Source organism: Homo sapiens, chromosome 14, assembly GCF_000001405.40.
Source record: "Homo sapiens chromosome 14, GRCh38.p14 Primary Assembly".
NCBI classification, from domain to species: domain Eukaryota; kingdom Metazoa; phylum Chordata; class Mammalia; order Primates; family Hominidae; genus Homo; species Homo sapiens.
Genome location: NC_000014.9, coordinates 76,367,881 through 76,391,819, shown reverse-complemented (window position 1 = coordinate 76,391,819; position 23,939 = coordinate 76,367,881). Strand labels below are relative to the sequence as shown.

Here is a 23,939-nt window from a genome sequence, read left to right as displayed (position 1 = left end):
TCCTCAACCAGGCACTCTTGGACAGTGAACAACCTGTACAACTGAACAGGTAACCCACTAGTGGTGCACCCCAAAGCACAAATTTTCTCAAAATGTATCTAAACTTCTACCTCACATTTACTGAAGGCTCCTCCATGACTGACTCTGTGCTGCAGACGAATCAGAACCAGATGGGCCCTTGAGGAGCTCAGGGTAAAGTGAAAGACTCCCATAGTGAGGTGGGAAGGAAGGGCTTCACTCTCAACGCTGCCTTCTCCTCGGCAAGGCCGCTCCAAAGGGCATTTGTCTACAGACCAGGGATTCAAAGAACAGAAGCAGACCCCAGCAATGAGCTGCAGCTTCTGGCCTGTACAGCATGCAGATGTACGCATTGCCAGCGGTCTGTGGGCTTGTAGTGCACTTGCCATCGGAAAAGGGCTGGGCTGGGAACTGTGTGTATCTGAGTCACTGAACTGCCCCTCCTGATGGCAAAGGTCTGAACCTGAAGCAATTTCCAGGTAACAGAGAGATTAAGTGTGAATCCTCATTCCAGGGGCCTGGGTTGGCTGGGACCCAGGAAACCTGCCACGGAGGAGTCTAGAAAAGCCCAAACGCACTCTTGCTCTTTCCTGGCCTCTGCTGTCCTGGAGGCTGCAGACCAAATCTTACCTTCCCGCTTTCCTGTAGCATCCCAAGAAACCACAATGCAGCCAATGTAACCTCAACTGTGTGATCCAACTCGGGATTGGCCAGGAATATTTTCTCCACTTCCAAAGCCAGAGGAGCCCTTGCTTTCATGGGCATGACCGCACAGCCCAGCATTTCCAGAGAGGGCAGCTGCCTCCTCGCAAGGTCCTGGGGCCCCGCTGCAGCCACACACAGAGCCTCCCTTCATGCTGCAGCTTGGCTGTTCTTGGCATCTGCTTCATTCCTCTCCTGACCTCACCTGTGCCTGCCTCACCTGTTCAACCATGTGCTGCTGTGGCCTCATTTCCTCAAAGGGCCTGGGGCACAATCCTCTCATGGCCTGGAGGCTTCAGCATACCTCTCCATCAGCGCCTTTCCCCTTGGAAAATTCATGGTTTTTACTTCCCGCACTTAGCTCCTCAAGTTAAACCCTACGCACAGGGGTCCTGTAGGGAAAGGACATGAACCTTATGCTCTAGAAATAAAACTTACATTCCTCTACCTGGCACGTCATCTGTTTCCGTAGAATTTGGATAGGGGCATCACTGGAGCAATGAGAAGAAATACTAAAAAGAACTAATATTTATTGAGCACCTACTGTGTACTAGTTTCTGCTATAAGTACCTTATATTTATCTTTTTTTGTTTGTTTGTTTTTGTTTTTTTGAGACTGAGTCTTGCTTTATTTTCCAGGCTGGAGTGCAGTGGCGCAATCTTGGCTCATTGCAATCTCCACCTCCTGGGTTCAAGTGATCCTCCTGCCTCAGCCTCCCAAGGAGGTGGGATTACAGGTGCCCACCACCACGCCTGGCTGATTTTTGTATTTTTAATAGAGATGGGGTTTCACCATGTTGGCCAGGCTGGTCTCAAACTGCTGACCTCAAATGATCTGCCCACCTCAGCCTCCCAAAGTGCTGGGATTACAGGCGTGAGCCACCGCACTCAGCCATGTTTATCAACTTTTAATCTTTACAGCAATCTAACGTGGAAGATCACAGCAGAAGAGGAATCTGAGATACAGAGAGATTGAGTCATTTATCTGGGGTCACAGAGCTGGGATGTGACGGAGCCAGTGCAGTGGTGTGGTAATAAATGTTTAATGGCCAGCTGGGGGACGGCGGATCTGTAGCATTTGCCAATTTCCGTGGTGTAAATACTCCCATCATGGCTGTTCTCAAACTACCAGTGTGTCATCATGGAATGCAGGCTTGGGAAGAGACAGGCAGCAGCTCAGCATCGCATGGTTTTTCCACCATACATTAGGTGTAAATTGATGGCAAGAACGTAAAGTGAAATGTACTAAGATATGAGGAAGTGAGGAGTGGTATCTATTACCTTTGTTTTTAATACAATGTATTTAATTATAAGTTTATACCATTTAATTTTTAATAATGATTGTGTTTGACCATCAGCCCACAAAACTGCTGAATATTTAACAGTGAGCTCTCCTGAGCTGGTTTGAGCTGGTTCCAGCACACCATTGGGACCAGGATTTCAATTCAGTTAGTCTGGAGCTAGGGTTTTCCCTCTTAACCCCAACACTGCATTGCCTCCCAGAAGGATATAATGCTCCCCAAGCCAGAGCTGCCTCCATGGCTCAACCAGGGCAAAAATGTGGCAGAACCAGTGCTCTCCTGGTTACCTCTTCCCAGGCCCTTCTTTCTGCCTCTTTTCCCCCAAGGGCTCCCCTTTAACTACTTCCAATCCCCTCAGGTTAGCTCAACCAACATTTATTAAACACCCACTCTGTGTCACTGGGGACACAGAGATGACCTTGGACTCTAGGACCTCATGATCTAGGAGAAAAAATAAGCAAATATTCAAATCCAACAGATTGTAAACCAGTCAGGGGCATGAGACAGAGAACAGCTGCAAGGAGAAAGACTAATTCCCCCAGGGAGAAGTCAGGGATGCCTCCACACAGAGGGGGATACCTGAGCAGGGTTTTAAAGGATAAATAGAAGTTTGCTAAGCAGACCAGGGTTGGGGGAAGCAATACAAGAATGACTAGATCTGAGGTGTATACATAGGTAAAAGTTTTCCAGATGTAGGAGGGGACTCAACAATGAAGAGCAGGAGGGAAGAACTGAAGATACGCTCCATATCTTGGCTTGGTGGGGGGTGCCTGCCTAAAGAGACATGAGGATAAGCAGGTTTAGAGTGTGATGCTGTCTTTGATTTTGCACGTGCTGCTGTGTGGTGCCTGCGGGAATCCAAGACGGGCACCAAGGTAGGGCACTGAGACTCAGACTTGGGAGCTGTTGGAGAATGGGCGATAAGAGAATGATGGGAAGGCAAGGAACAGGAGAAAATGCAAGCTGAGAAGAGGGAAGTCGGCTTCAAAATATGTTTATGATAGACTCTAGGAGAGGCATGGAGGGGGTCAAACCACTGAGTGGCCTCCAGAGGCTGGGCATGGGCCCTTGGACGATGATGTCAGGAAGACCAAAAGTTCCTTCCTACAGCTTTCTCCTGTGCCGAGGACAAGGATGGAAGCTGACCTGGGGGATGAGAGGTCTGACTCTGTGCAGCAATTCTTCCACCTTATTTTTTTCAGAACCAAGACATGGGTCTTGGTCTTTTCCCCCTCCACCACCACCTTAAACTTTGCCCAAGTGTTAGATCTACACAAGGTGTTCTGAAGGCAGGAGTTAGAAAGCTGAAATTCTAGGCCGGGTGCAGTGGCTCACGCCTGTAATCCCAGCACTTTGGGAGGCTGAGGCAGATGGATCACGAGGTCAGGAGATCAGAACCATCCTGGCTAACAGGATGAACAGTGAAGCCCCTTCTCTACTAAAAATACAAAAAATTAGCCAGGCATGGTGGCAGGCGCCTATAGTCCCAGCTACTTGGGAGGCCGAGGCAGGAGAACGGCGTGAACCTGGGAGGCAGAGCGCGCAGTGAGCCGAGATTGCGCCACTGCACTCCAGCCTGGGCCACAGAGTGAGACTCCATCTCAAAAAAAAAAAAAAAAAAAAAGAATGAAAGAAAGCTGAAATTCTAGATGCAATGAGCGACACATAACATCGGGGTGAGGAGTGCAGGCACACACCCAGACAGCCTCTGTGCAAATCCCAGCTTTGTCAGCTGTGTGACCTTGGGCAAATGACTTAACGTCTCTGTACCTCAGTTTCTTTACCTGTGAAATGGGGGATGATAATAATACCTACTTCCTAGGATTGTTGTGAGGAAGTGATGATTTCATACATGAAATATTCTTAGGACAAAGCCTGACACACAGTAAATGCTCAATAAATGTCAATTACTACAACTATTACTATTACAATCGCCCATCTCTGGCCTTACACTTTATATTTAGCTCTCCTATCCCCCCTCAGACACTTTTCTTACATCAAATCCTAAAATGATTCCCCAGAGAATTAGGTGGCTTGGAGAAGAGCATCTGAACACCAGTATCTGGCTCTGAAAATGGTGCTGGCTGCACGGCTTCTGCATATTCAGCAGCTGGAGGTCATTCCTCAAACTGAATCAGACCTGAGCACTTTCCAGCCCGTCTGGAGGTCAGGCAAGCCACGGAGGCAGTGAGTGTGTGGTGTGTAGGTGTGCATGCATGCATGGTGGGGCTTGGGAGGAATACCACACTACAAGGCAGCTGCAGTGCTAAATTGCATGGAGCAGGGCTCGGAAAGGTGAAAACCAGAGCTGCTTTCTAAAGCCAGGGTCCTGAGCTCACCCCTGAGCTTCTGAAGGCTCACCCCCTGGGATTCTCCATACACCCCACCAAGGGAAGGCTCTGTTGCAGAACTGTCACCCATGGGGTGCAGTGCCAGTGAGTGCCTGTAGGGGGCTCTAGAGCTCTTCCATTCCCCGTACCCGGGGCTGTGAGGGCATCAGGCTTAAAACAATGGTTGTGTTTACCAAGGCTGTGCGACTGTGCTGTTCTGAGAGGTGAATGAGGGGAAGCTGGGGTCCGCTGGTACCCTGTTGGCGAGACCCGGTTCATCCATGCTCTCAACTAGCTCTGCTTCAGGTTTGGAGTCCTAACCCTCCCTGATCCACCACCTAACACTGATTTGGGCTGCTTCCCCTCAGCCTCCTGGGAGACCCTCACAAGGGTCAGCCTCCTGTCCTTGTGTGGGGAGGTAGGGAGAGCTGCTGCTTTGGCCTCCAGGGTGGGGCAAGGGTAACTTCCAGTTTCTGGGGTCTCAGGTTCTGGCAGTCCAGCACCCCAACCCGTTTGTCAGGGAAACATCAGGCACAGACAGGTTCCCAAAAAGACTTGACTTACCCTGTTCCTCCCTAAGGCAAAATTCAGTAGCCCTGGGTGCTGTTAGGAGACCTCATTCAGCAGATTTATTTACTTAATTGTAACTCTATCAATATATCTGGTCGAGGGAACTTACCCACTGCCATATCTAAGGGCACGGCCAGCCTAACACATTCATATTGGTAAAATGTTAAAGATGGTCATTTGGAGGCAGAGGCAGGCAGATCACCTGAAGTCAGGAGTTTGAGACCAACCTGGCCAACATGGTGAAACCCCGTCTCTACTAAAAATACAAAATAATTAGTACCCAGGTGTGGTGGCACACACCTGTAGTCCCAGCTACTCAGGAGGCTGAGGCAGGAGAATCGCTTGAACCCGGGAGGCAGAGGTTACAGTGAGCCGAGATCGTGTCACTGCACTCCAGACTGGGTGACAGAGTGAGACTCTGTCGCAAAAAAAAAAAAAAAAAAAATTAAAAAACCGAACCTAGAATTAATCTTTCGGGCTTGGTCAAAAGCAGAAAAAAAATAAGAGCAATGTGTTTCTTATCAGACTATTTTAAGAAAAACAGTCATGGGTAGATAGGGTTGCCAGATTTAACAAGCATTGCATAGGATTTACTTATACAAAAAAAGATACTCACATTTATGTAAAATTCACATTTAACTGGGTATCCTGTATTTTACTGGACAGCCCTACTGAAAATATAGGGATTCGTTCAGAGGAAAATTTCCTATTCATCCTCTCCATCCCAAACTGTAATTCCTTCTTTAATCCCCTTGTGTTACATATTGACACGCGAGCCATATTGATCACATTAAACAAAGTAGTCAGTTCAAGCACCCCAGTCTCACTGTAGGGAAGACTATAATTGTGAGATTATGTCAAAGGAATAAAAAGTAATGCCCCAAAGATAACATCAAAAAATTAATAACACTGGACATTTAATGCACACCTACTATATGCCTGGTGCTTGTCCTCTGACTAAATCTTCAAAACAACCCTGGGAGGTAGATACTATTAGTGGAAACTGAAAAGAGAATCTACACATCTAATTTCTGTAGTTCTGGGAAAAGCATGTAAATTTCTGGTCAATTACTTCCTGAGAAAGAAAGGGGAGGGAAACCAAGAAGGACTCCATCCCATCAACAAATGGGCTTATTCATAATGCAAAGGCCAGGTCAGTTGCTATTTGGTTATATGCCACTTACACAGGAAACTGTCTTAATTTCAGTGAATTATCACTGGCTTGGAGTACGGGATGGTGGGAGAGCAGTGGGTAGGAACCCCGTAACAGTCAGCAGTAAGCTGGCCTTAACAACTGAGGAAGATGTGTTATACTCAGGATAATCAACAGCTCATTTGCCATGAATAAAGGCATCGCTCAAGCCACCCCCAAACACTCGGTGACAGTGACACACAGATTCCAAATGTTCTCTGTAAGAAAAAACACCCTTTCTCCTAATCCTTCTTAAACTCAACAAGACTGATTGGTTTTTATTATTCATGAATTAATTTTTTACTCAGGGTCCAACAAGGGAATTGAAGATATAAAATTTCTCACCGATTGAGGGGGAAAGCAGATCTCAACCTAAGCAGCACAGCCAGAGTCTTGCTTGCATTCCTTGGGGGTGGAATGATTTGTTTGTAAAATCAGTTAATAATCAATTAATAATCCAAAGCTTTGAGGTTTGGTTGTTTTTTTTTTTTTTTCCTGAGGAAAAGAAACTATGAGTAAGAACATGAATAAGAATATTGAGATGGAAAAAAAATACAGACAGCTATGGGACCCTGGAATATTAGGTGAAGCAGAGCTGCTTCTTCGTTCCACGATACATATACAAAAAAGGAAATGAGAGAGGAAATAACAGAAGCATTGATGGATTCTAAAGTAACGCACAGATGAGCATGGTCTGTAGGTGAGCAGGCTTCAGGTCTGGGAGTCGCCATGAAGCATCACAAGAAGGGACATGGAAATTCAGAGAGGTCAGTTCCCTGATGACCTCCCTCTAATCACCTCCATAGTGCAGGTTGAGGTACTCAGGAGCAGGGACAACGGCCTCATAGAAGCCAAATGGCCAAGAAGGCGATCAAGGGTGGAGAGATGACTTTGCCTCTCTCTTCACACAGTTCTTCTCCCAGATATTCACATGCGCCAAGTCATAACCCCCCCTTGTCCTCTCTGTGCCTTTGGTCTGCAAACCTGTCATGAGAATGCAGCCAGAGGAACCAAGGAGCAAGGGGAAACTGGGAGGCAGAGCATGGCACGGGGCATAGAAGCCGGCAGTAGTGGGGTCAAACTTGGCACAGCATCACTTACAAGAAACACTTCTCCCATCTTCGTTCAAAGGCAAAGCACCCAGCTTTTCTCAGGGGGGCCAGGTGGTTAACACCGTATTCTCCTCTACCTGCCTGTTCGTATTCAGAGACCAGGCAGTTTTTGCTCCTGGGTGAATTCAGACACGCAAACCTGCAGCCTTTGCATGTTTATGTTTGCACGAAGATATTTATGTTTGGGAGCAAGAAACGGTCACCCTCATCCAGCTACTATGAGAAAAATGGTTACGAGAATTGCTTTGCGCTTTTTGGGAAGAAAAAGGTACAAGCTGTGATTACTGTAATCACAATTATTATAACCATCACATTAAAATTGCTACTATTTCTGTAAAAGCAGTGTTCTTTCTGCCAAAGCTTGTTAGCTTGACTGCTTAGGTAGACAATGTCAACAAACCCAAGAGACAAATGACAAAGAGTGAAGCTAAAAGTAAGAGGATAAATACTGCGCTCTGCATGCTGAAGTCCTGTTTCACCATCAAAAGGAAATGTTTTCTGCTGATCGATTAGGAAGACAAAAACAAAAGCATACAACAGCTCATTTACTGTGCATCACCAAGATCCCAAACTAGGGTTCCAAGCATAGGCGGTGAGATGAGGGGAGGGATTTAAAAATTGGTTTTGCATAAAGTTTAGTGCTTCTTCATATCCTCACCCATACCTGCAGCCCCTATCACCACGCGCCTCAGATAACAAACAGACCACCTGAAATTTGTCTGTAAACAGCAGGTCTACACCCTTCTTGTTTTTTTCACCAAAACGTGAGCCAGCCAGCGGCCATGAATAAAGGTATTGATGGCTGAATCAGAACAGGGGGGCCAATTATAGGCATTCTGCTTTGGGACTTTACCCAACTAATCATGCTCAGCACCTCTGAACAGCTCAGCCAGCCATACAGACACACACACACTCACACTCAGGCAGACCACACACCTACACTCCTTCCTCCAAAACAGTCAAGGAGGGACAAAAGGACAAGGGCAAACTACAGCAAGCTGGAATAAAAATAGAGGGGAAAAAATGAAGACAAAGGAAAATGCTAAATTGTAAAACACGAGAGAAATCTCATCTAAAAGATCACGCTTCTTCACCCCTTCCATCCTCTCCTATAGCATTTCCTTACACCTGTATTTCCTTGTTCTTTGCCCTTCAGAAACCAAGAACACATCAAAAGGCCAATGATTCTCAAAGACCCTTTATCAGGCATCATTTTTAAAGCATAAGCCAGATGAAAATGCCAAAAAAAAAACCAATAAAAATTTCAAAATGAATTAACAAAAAGAATAAAACATAAAAACTAATTTATGAACTCAAGCCAATTCAAGCCATTAAAAATAAAAGAACCAAGTTAAAACCACATTTGGTATTTGGGGTTTTTAAACTCATCGTTTCCTTGATAGAAAAGATTGAATTCAATTTGACACTTCACATTCGTACAGTTTTAAATGCAGGATTTTGGTAAACACCAATGGTCAGGCACAAGGCTGACTGCCCCTATAATTGGTAGGAGAGGTCTCTGATACGATTTTAAATAAAAATTGATCACATTTGAAATCAGAAGATAAAAACAAAGGCTTGTTGGAGTTTGTTTAACTGCCTTCTGACCTCTGAATGAAATGACATTGAGAAATATAATAAAATTTTCCAGAAAACCATTCCCTGAAAAGGTTCAGTCCCGGGGATGCTGAATGACAATATTGAATAGAGTATTTTAAAGTCCTAAGGAACAAAGGAAAGACATTTTTTTTTTAAAAAAGAAACTTTCAGACCAAAATGTGTATAGGTTTAAAAGCACAGCAAAATGAAATGAAAAAATTCTATCTCTGAGCCCCAGGAAAACTTTTGTTTTAGATTTATACAATTTTAACTCAAACTCAGACAATTCTGAATTTAAAACATTTGGCCAATAATTTTTTTCCACCTAGTCCAACTCCATAGTGAACATCCCATGGGCTGATTAACCAGTATGATTTTCCTTGATTTAAGAAAAGAGTTGACTCTTTAAGCCACAACCTGTCAATGGCTATTTCCAGGGAGAGAAGGGGAAGTCGGGAACCTGGAACAGAATGGCCCAAATTCTCCTCTGAGTGTGGCCATCTGTTATCCTGGAGAAGGGCAGGACTTCCTTCTCTCCCTCTCTGGGGTCTGCCCCACCCCTACCCAGGCCAGAAAATTGCAGAGAGGCTCTTAAGACTGAAATCCTCTGGGCAAACCAGAGGGACAGCCACCTAGCAGGTGCCCCTGCAGTCCCCTTTGCACCATGGACGAACCAATCCCAAGGCACGGCAGCCCCTGCTGGAATGTGGTCACAGCCAGACCTCAGCCCAGCCAAGGGGTATAGCAGTCAGCAGGAACATGTTTAAATAGCAGAGACCCCTGTCCACTGTCACCCCATCTTAAAGGGGACTACCCACCGGAACACATTCACACATGTGCACACACAGGTTTCCCACGGTGGAAACTCTCTTGGGGTGGACACGGCTTTTGATGTTTCGAGGTTCAGAAACATCCTCTACAACAGGGGCTTTATTGGCAGCACAGAAGGGCTTGACACTCTGTTAAGCAATGACTTATAAAGAAAGGTCCTGTTAGGACCCTTGATGATATTAATCCTGATCAGTACAGAAGGGCACCTTAGAGAGGCAAATACAAGTACACTCATAGGAGGGAGGGAAAAGACCGTGCAGCTCCATGTTCCCCACTTGTCTGGTGTTTTTGTGTCCTTTTGTTGGATGGTTAACTGGTGAGGTCTCTGTTCTCAGAAACAAATTGAGCCTGTGCTCTCCTATGACCAGGCTCCCTACCCAAAGCAGTCCAGCTCTGTGGAACACCTGCTCAGAGTCCAGGAGCCAGCGAACAGTCACCTCCCCAAAGCTGGCTCTGAGAAGAAGCTGATGAGATGGGTGAATACAAGCTACTGCCCGCTGAGCCCAGGAGCACCAGATGGAAGTCACAATGAGTCCCTTTAGAGCCACAGAACTGACCAGCATGCACTCACAGTCCTTCCGTCACATCCTTCCAGTATGGCCAGGAACACGAGAGAAGAAATGGCCCAGCACAGCCTGCTGCCCAGGGTGACAGTGTCTCAAGAGGCAAAGGTCACTAGCCCAGTGCCCTGGGGAAGAAAAAATCCTCCCAACTACGGATCTCTCCCAGTCATTGCCCTGACAACCCCTCCACGGAAGGTGTCTGGTCCCAGGACAGCCCTGCCATTATTAGAGAAGGTCAGCAGCCTCACCAGTGGCAGGAGGCAGGCTGGCCCGGTGAGGGTTAATCTGCCGGGCCAGCCATTACAGGGGTCACCGTGAAGTGCAGAGAAGTTGAGCCTCCCAGTCCCCCAGAGCTGGTCTGCTAATTACATTTGCAATTATAAACACCACAACCTCCCCGCGCAGGGACGAAGCCATACCAGCTGACGGGGCTAAAAGGATATAATCCCACCCCACCCATGCCAGGGGACAGGGGACATCAGGGCCACCCAAAGCCTATGGGCCTCTCCTCTGAGGGAAGACCATGTCTGTGACTGTCCCCAGAGGTCTAAGGCTGCTGGGGCTGAGGAAGGGGAAACTCACCAGAGACAGAGACCAATCAGGGGTCACCAGTGCATACATGCTAAAAACGTCTTTGATTTATCTCTAGAAATCGGTGAAAGCCTTCAAGGGCAAACAGGCAGGATGTTCAGGAAGATTCCGGGCCAGATTTGGCTAGTTCCAGCCCATTCTTAATTTGTACTCTCCTGGCTTCCTGGGGTCCTTCCTTAGACCCTGCACTGGCAGCACCTCTAGGGGCTGTAGTGTCACTGGAGGACCCCAGAGGTTGAACATTCAAGTCAAGCTGGGGCTCCCCACCCCAGTAACATTCAGTCAAGAGCCACCAGACTCTACGACAGAAGCTCCCAGGGGAGCTGTGCGGCATCCTCGCTAATTCTGGGCAGAGCTCCTGCTCAGCAGGAAGAGCATTACGAGGGTCTCACTTCAGAAAGAAATGGACAGAGACTCGATGATGGCCGGTAGGTGTTGGGGAACACCAGAATGGAGGCAGTCAAGGTGTGGTGTGGGCTTTACTTTGAAGGAGGACATTATGGTCTAAATATCTGCTATCTCTTCCCTTAAATTTGGAACCAAAAAGAATTTTAATCATTTTTAAGAAGTCGCTTAAAGGACTTGGGGAGACAAGTTCTAGAGAAGGGCGCTGCAGAGTCAGGCCAAAAGCATCCTGTTTCTTGCTTGTCTACTGTCTTCGAATTCTGTCTCCTTCTGAATCCTATGCATTCATGGCCAACTCCACCGCCCTCCCCAATGTACATGCTCCCTCAATGTCTCTCTGTCACACGCATCCTTCCTCCGGCCCATCAGAAGTAGGCAGATCTTTGCTCAAAAGAAACAAGGCATTCAGCAGAGGGCTGAGGAAGGGGACAAACTTTCTCAATGAGTTTAGATTATCTTTAAAAACCACTTGGCAAAATGTCCAGTTATCAGGAATATGAATGGAGCACACGCAGGACAAAGTTATAAGGGCCCCCGAGCTAGGGCCAGGGGTGCTCTGAGAAGGCAGGGTGTGACATGAAATCTCTGTCACCGCCACCTCCTTTGAAGTGCTTTCCCCGAAAGTCCCCTCTGCCCCTCCTCTCCCAGACTAAATGGAATATTTATTGATTACTCCAAATCAATAGAATAAAAAGATTCCTGTTTTGTGGCCAGGTTGTTTCTCTGTGCTTTTTTTTTTTTTTTTTGGAACAGATCTTTTTCATATGTCCTCATTATCAGCAAAATAAAGGATTGTTTCTAAAATGAAAAGGGTTGGGGGAAGTAACAAACTCCAAGAGGAAATTTCCAGTGATGTCAGGATCTCACTGAGCTGGAAAGGGCCTTACCCGGGACCGGGGCCCTCCAGCGTTGACCTAATGTCTCCTCCCAGTTCATCGCCTTCAGGCCTGAACACCTCCCACCTCCTATCACCCATCCTCTTCCATGGCAGCGCACACCTCCAGAAGGCTGACAGGCACATAAAGGTTTATTTCCTAGAGCCCCTCCCTTGGAAAACCGAGACTGATGTCCTCACTCTGATTTATTTTTAAATGTACCATTAAAAATTAATTTCCCCCTTTGTTTTTCTCCGGGTCACTGACTCTGAATTACCATGTGGCATTTTTCCTACGTGTGAACCCACATATTTTACCTTCAGGACAATTTGTTCTTTGTTTCTTTAACAACAGCAAAGTGGTCATCGGACGGTGGGGAAGATAGCCCCCCTTGCTCTCTGGACTGTTTGCCGTGGGTCTCCAGCTGGTCCAGTCATGGACCCATTTGTACACAGGCACACACAGGCGAGCACGCTGCCTCCCACTCTGGGTGATTATATATGTACATAAAATATTGATTAGAATGGGTAATGGAGTCACCTACAGGATTGGCTACAGGAAAATGAAAATGAAGGAGAGCAAGGTAGGAAGGTACGTATGTTTCTCTCTGTGTGTGTTCATTTCTCACCTGGGAAAGTGAGAATGATTCTACAGCATTAACAAATGCTCTCTATGTGTTAGAAGCAAAAGGGAGGACCAGAGAGTTCCTCCTCCCTCAACTCTAGTCCCTGTGCCCTTGGGTTTTCTCAAGTCTGGGAATGTCAGCCAATCCACAGGGGTCAAAACAGTGAGCAGAGCATACACGAACCCACTTACTGTATGTTCCCTGGGAAATGCCGGCACTATAATGAATGGCTTTGTCCTACTATCCTTCTACCAAACCAAAGAATCCAGTCCCCTGCTCTGTTACTTTACTACCCATGGCTCTAAAGCTGTGTCACAAAGCCATGGGGTAGAGGTCAGAAAGATGTCTCCCCAGACACCAGCCCCAGACCTCCACAAGCTCGTCCTTGAAATGATGCCCCTCTGCGCCACAGCACATGCAGACCCTCCCTAGGCGGCACATATATGTATAAGAGGCCAGCTCATCAATGCCTGGGCTGCTGCCCAGTGGGTCCTGGGCTTTGAGAAATGACATCTGACAGGGGTGCTCAATTCCTCGGTGGAGACAGCAGGTATATTTTTGGCTTTTCCTGTGCCCCATGGAGGGACAAGCTAATTCTTTGCAAAAAAAAACCGGAAAGGGTTGGGGATCTAAACCTCTGTCAGGCTTAGTTTATAAATGATTTCTATCTCAAACCTTTCCCAGACCCCCAGGACCTCAGCTCCCTGACTTCCTTCTGCTGCTTCCCTGACATTGCCTTTTTGCCCATATTTCTCCTCAAACTCCAGTCAGGGCTGCCGTCAACTCGATGAATTACCCAGCTGTTAAAGCCTCCATCTCACTCCTTGCTTTCCTGGTAAGCATAATCAAAGAATGTACTTCCTTCATACGAATTTTCATATTTATTGACTATGACTTGAGCCAGGGACAAATACATAAGTATTTCGTGCTCAACTAAAGAAGTCACCTCTGGAGAGAGGGAGCCTTAATAATTTAAATATCCAATATTTGTCATACTTGATCATTTTATGTAAGGAAATGCTCCACAAGCACCAAATACTGTCCACAGCCTCACTAACCTCAGGTGCTCCCACCCCATCCCCACCCCAGCTAGAATCTAACCTTTAAAAGGAATGAAAGCCACTTTTCAAGCTGATGGAAATCGGAATCCATTATTATTAAGGATTCCTCTCCCAGACCAGCGCCTTCTGCCGACATTCTGGTGGCATCTAAAAGGCCCTCTGCCCCAGGGTGGAGTGGGGAAAATCCCCAAACTAGAAGCAGGAACAGTCTGGTCAACAACACAAGCCATGCTGTGGACAGCTGCCCTCTCTCTCAAGCGGGGTGCACCGTGGTGGAGGTGCTCCATGCAGCCAGGAGAGGGGTTAGGTACTTCCTGGGACCCCACATGATCCAGAGTATTTATTTTAGAGATGTAGTCGTGGTTCTTGGGGGGAGGGGGAGAGCGAGTGGTACACAAATGAAAGCACGGTGGAACTGGAGAAACGCTGACTTGGAGAATTTAGTTTGCGTCAGAAAAAAAAGAGGAAGACGAGCACAAAGTTAAGCAGGAAAGCTGTCCGTAAGAACCTAGAGTTTTATGTATTATTATTATTAAGCCTTCCGAGGGACCACTTTGCACGCGCACACAACCTGCCTCCGGGACACCCGCCGGGGGCGCCGTGGGGTGCGCAGCGCCCAAGGGGAGACCCGGGCAGGTACCCGAGCAGGTGGAGCGGCGACCGTGGAGGGTGTCGGGAGGGAAACCGTAGGTGGATAGAGTGGGATCCCCGAGAGCCCGGACATGACACGCGGGTTGACCACCCGCTGCTTAGGCGATCAGTTCACTTTCCCACTCTGCGCTCTTGGCGCGCTGCCCCGGGGCTGGAGACCCGCGGTTTCTGAGAGTCGCTTCTCGCGGCGCCGGCTGCCGCCCGCGCCCACGCCGCTCGGATAACCCCAGGTTCTGGCACCGCGAGCGCAAAGCCGCCTCGGAGCAGGGAAATGGTGCCCTTCTGTTCCGCTGGTCACAGCCTCCCCCAAAGCCGAGAACGAACTTTGCCTACGACGCAGCGCTGGGCCCGCATCCCCCGGGCGCCCTGGATCCGCCGCGCCACGTGCGCACCCTCGGGGCGCCCCACGGAGACCGCGAGGCGAGAGCGGCACTGGCCGCCTGCAGTTTCCAAACCGCCGCGGCACGTTCGATTTTCTCTCTCTTGCCGGGATCATTTTTGGTCCCCAGGATGGAAATAATAAAACAAAGCGCCCGCGGGAAAGGCTTTCTCTGACGGGACAGGACATCCTTGCAACCACATCCCTGCACCTGTTCTGGGCTTCTGCCTCCCTTCTTGCTCCATTCCACAAAAACTCAAATATTTTCTCACCCCGGAGCAAGATCAGAGAGGAGAGAGAAAGGGAGAAAGTGCATGAGAAAGCGCCACTCTTGCCTGAAAGTGTGGATTTGTAAAAGGGGGTGCGGGAAAAAGTTAGAGGAGGGTTTATGCCCTAGAAAGAAACCCAGAAGTGTGCGGCTTTTCCCCTCCTTCGTCCCCCAAGTGCCCCCCCGAAGTCCCTTCCACTTTTACACAAGAATGTGCAGAAAAGGAACTGCGATCCCCAGGACAGAGACTGCCAGACGGGCAGAAGGACAGACAGACCGAGAAGCAGGGCACCTACTGGTTGTGGTAGCCGAGGGGGTCCGGGATGCAGAGTTCGGACACGTCCATCAGTCCCGTTTTAGCATTCCCAGTTGGTAGAGAAAGACGGCGGGGAAATCACGCGGAAGAGCGAGTGAAGGGCACGGGCAAGGTGCGAGCCCGGGCAGGGCACAGTGAGCGCGAGAACGCAGAGTGGGAGGAGGCGGCCGCGGCGGGGGAGAGGGAGGCAGAGAGCCGTGCGCGCACAGCCCAGCTCTCCACTCATCCGCACGCTCCGGAGAGAGCGGGCAGAGGGGATGCGAAGCCGTGGAGGAGGCTGGGGCACAAGAGACTTGGAGCCCACTAACCCTACTGTAGCTTTAAGGCTGGGAGACTGATGTATAGTTTGGCTCCTATTGGCTATCTCTCAGGGGCTGGACTTAAAGTGACAGAATCAAGCTGGGGTGGGGGGAGGGGGTGAGACAGAGAGACTTCATGGAATGAGACGCTCAGCGCGCGAGGTCCCCACCTCCTGAGCAGTAGGAGTACTGGGTGTTAGAGCCCTAAGGCCTGCCTTCTCGCAGTTAAAGGGGGGTGGGGGGGAATGTCCAACCGCCAGGTGGGTCTGGGGTGGGGGGAGATTTATTGCTTACATACCCCCCGGGCCACCCCTATCCCATCTTTTAACTGGCAGGTCTAGCAAACTCACCTCTCAGCCTTTCTGGAATGGATCTGTTTTCCAAATTAAAAATGAGTCACATTTCTCCACCCACGCACCAAAGAGAAGAGGCAGCCTCAAACCCTGCGCTGTGTGCGCAAAAGTGCAAAGGGTCAGGCCAGCAGGTGAGGCACAGCAAGAAGGCAGGAGAGAAACAGATTCCCTTCCCAGTTCTCATCACCTGGGCCAGTCAGTTCTGCACCACTCTCATATGGCTAGATGCAGGGTGCGCATCTATAAAACGTTCTCTCAATGTATGAAGTGATGCTCTAGTCATTGGCAGCTCTCTGAAATGTACCCAGGACACAGACATGAGCAAATAAATTCCTGTCTGCTTAGGAAAATACAATCGTGGTGAAAATGATCAACTTACCCGCCACATCCACTCCAAGGCACAAGTACACACTTTGAAATACACACCTGAATCCCCAGCTACAAACGCACCTGCATCCCCGTCCGCTGCTCCCTCAGTGAACCCGAATATTATGGGATGCCACTGTACCAAAATGAGCTGTAAGTCATGCCCCAGCCCTGCTTCTGGGTTTTTCATCTTTTGAGATGCACCAGCCACAGGGATAATAATCAATTTGATGATTCAAATGAGTGTGGGGAGGGGGGTAGGTATAGAATTATTTAAAAGGGGGGAAAAGCCCTCAGGAGACACCACCACCTTATTCTCCTATATTCTGCAGAAGACAATGAGCAGTAGGGGGGAAGACATAATTTTATCATCAAAATAATGTCTAAATGGAGTGTAACTGCAGGCAATGTTCAAGCACTTCAGGAATAAAGGCAGGGAGGGTTGTGAGAAACCCCAGGAGGGGCCAGCCGCCTGGGCAGGGGCTGGGAGAGTGGGCAGAAGGATCGCAGATGATTTTTGACTTGGATAAATGTGCTCGTGCAGGTTGGGAAACAGAGCTGAGATTTTTCATATGTGCTGAAGTGGAGGAACAAGTGGGATTCTCTGGGCGCAAGGCTCAGGAAGGCATCTCACAGAGAGATGGATGAAGATGTCTCCTCTGTCAGTAGCCCCCCAGCAGCCCCCGATTTTTAAAAATCACATAGGTACTTCATCAGAGACAGAAAGAGGGGTGCAGGGATGCTTCCCTTGAGCCTGGCTTCTATATGACCATCATCTCTCACCAGGACCTCAGTGACTGGTTTTTCGGCATCCTTTCTGCCCTGCTGAAATCCATTCTCCAGGCACACAGCAGCCAGGGAGCGATTTGTAAAATGCACATCCAATGTCCCGTTGTTGCAATTAGGAAAAAGGCCCCAGTCCTTGGCCTCCAAGGAAGGCATCCTATGACAGCTTCCTGCAGGTCCCTCTGTTCCTCTCCACAGCCCCTGCTGCTTTCCCTCTGGGCCCCAGTCTTTACATCTGCCACCTAGAAGGCCCCACCTTCCATATAGTGCCAGAATCTTCTGTGGTTCCTTTGCTTTGGGTAGTTTATCACAGTTTGCAATTGTCTGTGTACTGGCATGAGTGATAATTCCCTCCTCCACCCTTCCCTCACTAGACTGTAAGCTCCATGGGAGTAGGGACCATGTCTCTTTTTGTTCACCAGAGAATCTCTAGCATCTAAAGTTGCCTGATACATAACAGTTGCTTGATGAAGATTTTGCTGAATGAATGGTTAACCTGTAGGAGTTTGGAGTGGGGTGCCACAGCCTGCTGAGTGACAGGCCGCTGCCCAGGAAGAAGGTGAGGCAGTGATGGGTTGTCTGGGGCCCCTTGACTCCTTACTCTGTGTGGGTGCACCGTTTTTAACTGGAAACAAGACACACTTGGTAGAAATAAGGTCCTCTTCATGGTCTGAAAAGAAAGACCACATCACAGCCCAGAGCAATGGATTCAAAGCCACTGGGAGCAAATGAGGAGAAAGTGGGGTCTGCATTGGTTAGAACACTAGGCTAATGCTTGCCTACTATTATTCTCTGCCTCTAAGGTTCAGGCATGAAGGTGAACCAGAGCCTTATCTCTGGGCACTAGCTGATTGTCCTCCAGGCAGGAATGAACTCCTAGAGACCTAGGCCTTCTCAGCCTTCCTCTGCCTGAGCCTCCTCTCACACAGCCCTGGGGCCAAGTTCTTTCTCATTTCCTTTCTGACTCTGCAAGAGGAGAGATGAGGGCCAGCCGCCGGGACACCCTAGTGGCATGATCCAACTTGGCAGGCCCAGGCTCCTCCTGTGATTCTCCAGACAAACTTGCCTAGGTCCCACACTGTGCATGGGGCCCACATTTTTCCCATTCTGCCCTCAGCCAACTCACGGAGGATGGATTCCTTCCCAAAGCCAGGGTTAGGCTCCATGCCTCTGGCTGGAGAGGCAGCAGTATGGGACAGTAAAGGACTCTGGGATCGGGTCCTGACTCCTCCATGTGACCTTGCCAAAGTCATCTCTTCTCCAGAAAACAGAGGCTGTACAGGGGTGGAGTGGGGTGGGCAGGGTTCTTGGCTTTCTTCAGTCCTAAAATGCAGTCAACAAATCATGATTTATTTTACTGCTCACCTAGAGGAGGGGCTGTTTGTAATCCATGCTCAGCAAGAGCTCTAAGCCACCCCTTCACTACCCTCCACCCCAGTACTAGTACCCCCAGGTAGGCAAGTCAGCCAAAAGGAAAGTGGACAAAAGCTATTAGATGCAGTAAATGTGGAGGATGTAAGATGACAGCAGCTCACGTTGTTTTTGTGACAAATGCCTTTAAATTGATATTCATTACATTCACAGCACCTTATGGCTAGGAGGGACTCAGAGAACCATTTAGAACCATCATCAGATTTGACAAAGGAAATTTGTAAATTTCTCTATGTGGTGAAGTGACCTACCCAAGGTCACACAGAGAATATCTGGCAAAGCATTCCATCTGTGGTCACTGAATTTCTACTTATTCAATTCCTAAATCTTAAAAGACAAGTTTTTCTTTTCTTTTCTTTCTTTTTGAGACAGGGTCCAGCTCTGTCGCCCAGGCTAGAGTGCAGTGGCATGATCTCAGCTCATTGCAACCTCTGTTTCCTGGGCTCAAGCCATCCTCTCACCTCAGCCTCCCGAGTAGGTGGGACTACAGGCACCCACCAGCACACCTGGCTAGTTTTTGTATTTTTAGTAGAGATGGAGTTTCACCATGTTGCCCAGGCTGGTCTAGAACTCCTTGCCTCTTGTGATCTGCCTGAGTTGGCCTCCCAAAGTGCTGGAATTATAGGCATGAGCCACCATGACCCGCCACTCTGCTTTTCCTACTCCCTCCCTCCCTGAGTTTGAGCTCTTCCCTAAGAAAAATGATGACAAACAAGAACTGTCCAATACAACACGCTCCACACACTCTTTACCTGGTGGACAGAGGGGACACAGGCTTCTGTGTCCTCACCCTTCCCCCAGTGGGTTTCCTGGGAGGGAAAAAGGAAGCACTGGTTTGTGGATGCCGATGTCATAGGCTGCTGTCCTACAGTAAGCAATGCTCCAGGTGGCAGATAATTAGGAAAAATTTTCACACACAGCCTAGCCCACTCTGTCCCCCATGCCTCTATTTCCCTGGGTACAAAAAGCACTGAGTATGTCAGAGATCTAGACAAACACAGGTTCCCACTAACCACCCGCCCTTTCCCACCCCAGCCTGCCTAAGTCCTCAGGGTATGCCATCCTACTCCAAGGCCCAGATCTCAAGGGTCACTAGAGCAGTCTCGTCATGATATATGCAGTCTAACCCAGCACAGCAACTCTTGCCAGAGGTCGGGTGAAAATCTCCACTCTTAATGGAATCCAGTCTTGGTAGTATCTTCCCTCTCTTGAGGCAGCCTCCCCAGACACCAGCCATTTTTGCACAAATGAGGCAGCAGCAAGCAGTGTCTCTTAGGTCCTCAAATCCCCTCCCTGCCATATGCTCCCCTAGGACCAACAATAGGAGGATACTTCCTCCACCTTTCAAGCCAGGCAACTTAGCAGAAGCTGGTGGAGCCAGCTTGGTCCCCAGGAGAGTAGAGGACTTGACGGCTTCCTCACTAAAAGACAAGACCCAACAGGCATTTTTGGAGAATCTGCCACATGCTCTCTAAATCCAGTGAGTGTAGGAATGCTAACTGTTTGTTTATGCCATCCCTGTCCCTCACCCATCCCCATTTTCCTGAAGCCAAGCTTCCAGGTGGGAATGATACCTTCAGAAACACCCACAGTATGTAGCCACTTCTTACCACCAGCCCAGGAAGGGGAGGATGCCTCCGTGGAATGGTCTGAGTTGCAAGCCAAGCTCATTTCTCTTCCACCCCAGGGTGAGGGCTAGGGCAGGTGTGTCCAGGAAGAGCTTCCATTGCCAGTCCACAGTGACTAAGGTGGGCCTGGCCTAGACAGTGAGCCTAACCTGCGCATCTCTGAGGACAGTGCTCCATGGGCTCCCGGCCAGGGGAAATGTCCCTGACCACACCTCTCTGCGGACCTGCTGTCTTCTTACATGCTTGAATTTGGGGGTGTGGAGTTATATCCCTGAGTGATGGTCAGCAGACTGCTAGCCCATTGGCTGGCACTGGTCCCAAGGATCATAATTAACTGATAACGCTAATACAATGTGAGTTTGTGCTCTCATAATAGTCTCCTGCTGACAGATAAATGCTGCGGAAACATGATGGCTTTTCCTGAAGCCGTAATGGGCCATTACTGGGGCAAGAAGGCTCATGTCCTATTAGCACTGCTGCCACGACACCAAGGATAAAATATGAAGGGGGCATCTTGAGTGGATAAATGCTTGGGTGCCCTCCCACCACTGGCGTCATCCATTTCGTTATCTGAAATCCCTACCAGGGGTCTTGGAATAACTTCCAGATATTTCAAAGCTCCATTCGTTTTTCTTTTTTCTGAGCCTCAAGATCCATTCTCACCACCACAGCTGATTGATATATTAAAGTTCTCTCTTTACCATAGATTCTTTCTTCCTGTAGGCCCTATACAAGATGGTAGCTGCAGTGAGCAGGCAGGTTGGAGGATGAGGAAAGTGAGATTTGTCTCTCCATAGAAACAAAAAATCTTTTTTTTTCCTACCAACTACCAGGAGAATAGGAGCACATTATGACTGTAATAGCTTTATCCCTTGCCAAATTTCTAAGGGAGAAAAAGAGGAGTAGGAGAAGCACAAAGAGAAAATGAAGGAGGAGAAGGGAGATCAGGGGGAGAGAAAGAATACCATACCTCGATAGTACCTGGTAGCTAAGAGGCATTGAACAATTAGCTGTTGACTGAATGAATGACCTGTCTCATTAAATATTTTCCATTACAGTGGATTGTGGAGTTTTTTCTTATAACAAAGAAACTTGACCTTATTTTTGTCCGTGTCACATATTACATTATCGTTCAGTTTCTTGTGACTTTGGCGACAATTTTTTTTTTTTGAGACAGAGTTTCACTCTTGTCGCCCAGACTGGAGTACAATGGCGTGATCTCAGTTCACTGCAACCTCCGTCTCCCGAGTTCAAGTAATTCTCCTGCCTCAGCCTCCCAAGTAGCTGGGATTACAGGTGCCCACCACCACACCTGGCTAACTTTTGTGTTTTTTTTTTTTTTTAGCAGGGATGGGGTTTTGCCATGTTACCCAGGCTGGTCTCGAACTCCTGACCTCAGGTAATCCATCCTTAGCCTCCCAAAGTGCTGGGATTACAGGTGTGAGCCACCATGCCTGGCTTTGGCAACAATTTGAGCATACATAGTTGATTACAAATAGTAATGCAAGCAATTTGTTTCTAGGGTCTCATCACTGGTAGAAGAAAAAGTTCTCTTTGGCTGATGATAGTTTTAACTGCAAAAATCCCATGGTCAGCAATGGCCACAGAAAGAATAAACAGTTTCTTTGCAAACTCACAGATTATGCCTCCATTTTCATGTCTATTCTAAAAGATAACTATTTTAGAGAAACCACAAAATATGGGAAACTTTCGGAAAATTAATTCTAAAGCAGCACACACACTTGTATTGTTGTTAAGTGCAAACAAAGAAACATGTTGACAGAGCCTGTCTCCCTAGTATGAATGACAGAAAATTCAACATTGGGGACATTCAAAGGTGTTTTTATTTCCTAATGGCTCAATTAAGGTAGAACTTCATTGTACCCAATTATTTTTTGGAATAAAATGCATTTTATTTTTGCTCTAGTAAAATGTTTTGTGGAGAGAAAAAAAACCAGCAAATGCTTCCAGGTTTTAGGAAAAATCAAACATCGAGGCCGGGCGTGGTGGCTCGTGCCTATAATCCCAGCATTTTGGGAGGCCGAAGCAGGTGGATCACCTGAGCTCAGGAGTTTGAGACCACCCTGGGCAACATGGCGAGACCTTGTCTTTACAGAAAATACAAAAATTGGCCACACACTGTGGTGTGTGCCTGTAGTCCCAGCTACTCGGGAGGCTTAGCAGGAGAATTGCTTGAGCCTGGGAGGCAAAGGTTGCAGTGAGCCAAGATCATGCCACTGCACTCCAGCCTAGGTGACAGAGCTAGATCTTGTCTCAAAAAAAAAAAACCTCAAAGAAAAGAAAAAATCAAAGATCAGTGTTTTCTAAAGTGTAGACCTATAGAAAACATGGTTAAGATGACAGCTTTTTTTTTTTTCTTTTTTTTGAGATGTTGCCAGGCTGGAGTGCAGTGGCACCATCTCAGCTCACTGCAACCTCTGACTCCCTGGTTCAAGCGATTCTCCTGCCTCAGCCTCCTGAGTAGCTGGGATTACAGGGACGCACCACCGCACCCAGCTAATTTTTGTATTTTTAGTAGAGACGGGACTTCACCATGTTGGTCAGGCTGGTCTCAAACTCCTTACCTCAGGTGATCCACCCACCTCGGCCTCCCAGAGTGCTGGGATTACAGGCGTGAGCCACCACGACCAGCCAAGATGACAGCTTTTAACTGTGTTTTTACACGAGAAAAGTGCTGGCTGACCATTACCTTCACAGATGTATACTGTAATTAAAACAGTCCCATTGGTGAACTCTCCACCACTCTGAATGATGTAATTATGAATGGGTCAGTACAATTCTACATGAAGGCTCGAGCTTCATAGCATGGCCATCCATAACATCTTTATTCTTCATAAACAACTGGGAACACCAAGCTTCAATAGAATTCCTGACTTGGGAGGGTTTGCCTTTCCAAGAAGGACAAGACAAAGCAGCAAGGGAAACTACAGAGGAATCAGAGAGTTTAGAAAAATGGGTAAAAGGCAGTCACCACTACAAGATTTAATATGGATAAACACCAGTAATACACTTGTCAGCAGTGACCCTCAGCTGAGCCACAGACTGTAGGATCGCTGGTTGGAGAGCAGTGATGCAGAGAGACACCTGGGGTCAGAACCGATAGCACATTAAACATGGGCATCCAGCTTCATGGCATGATAAACACTGCTTTGGGGTAATTCTACCAAGCCCAGCAGAGCAGGGAGCAGTAATAATTCCTCTTTACTCTCCCTTCCTGAAGCCACAGAGGGCGTTTTACACTCACCTCTGAGGCACTTGCTTTGAAAGCATACTGGGGCCGGGCTCAGTGGCTCATGCCTGTAATCCCAGCACTTTGGGAGGCTGAGGAGGGCAGATCACAAGGTCAGGAGATTGAGACGATCCTGGTTAACACGGTGAAACCCCGTCTCTACTAAAAATACAAAAAAAAAAAAAAAAAAAAGGAAAAATTAGCCGGGCATGGTGTCACGCACCTGCAGTCCCAGCTACTGAGGAGGCTGAAGCAGGAGAATCACTTGAACCCAGGAGGAGGGGACTTCAGTGAGCTGAGATAGCACCACTGCACTCCAGGCTGGGTGACAGAGCGAGACTCCGTCTCAAAAAAAAAAAAAAAAAAAAAGCAAACTGGAAGGGTGTTGTGGAAAGGACTTGAAGAAAGGTGGAGGGGGACAAAGGCCTTCTGCAGGGT

At 48.1% G+C, this 23,939-nt stretch overlaps 1 protein-coding gene across 8 annotated transcripts in view, besides 2 other annotated features; it reads right to left on the bottom strand.

Annotated features, from left to right (window-relative positions):
* Positions 1-23,939, bottom strand: part of ESRRB (estrogen related receptor beta) — a 191,061-nt gene that overhangs the window by 110,018 nt on the left and 57,104 nt on the right. For 5 of the 8 annotated variants that reach the window (NM_001379180.1, XM_011536553.3, XM_011536547.3 and 2 more), the window contains exon 1: positions 15,369-15,683. The exons of 2 other annotated variants lie outside the window; for them this stretch is intronic. In NM_001379180.1, the coding sequence (NP_001366109.1) occupies positions 15,369-15,418 (50 nt within the window). In that variant the 5' untranslated portion in view covers positions 15,419-15,683. Of the gene's footprint in view, positions 1-15,368; positions 15,684-20,233; positions 20,550-23,939 lie in introns of those variants that run through there. One more of the 8 variants, NM_004452.4, reaches the window with a different exon arrangement.
* Positions 4,520-4,619: a silencer, noted in NCBI's record as "silent region_5956". NCBI's record gives its function as "represses an Ori minimal core promoter by ATAC-STARR-seq in GM12878 lymphoblastoid cells {active_cell/tissue: GM12878}" and the evidence as "EXISTENCE:reporter gene assay evidence [ECO:0000049][PMID:35858748]".
* Positions 4,819-5,319: an enhancer, noted in NCBI's record as "H3K27ac hESC enhancer chr14:76852844-76853344 (GRCh37/hg19 assembly coordinates)". NCBI's record gives its function as "activates a minimal SCP1, AML or CMV promoter by ChIP-STARR-seq in primed H9 embryonic stem cells {active_cell/tissue: H9 hESC(primed)}" and the evidence as "EXISTENCE:reporter gene assay evidence [ECO:0000049][PMID:30033119]".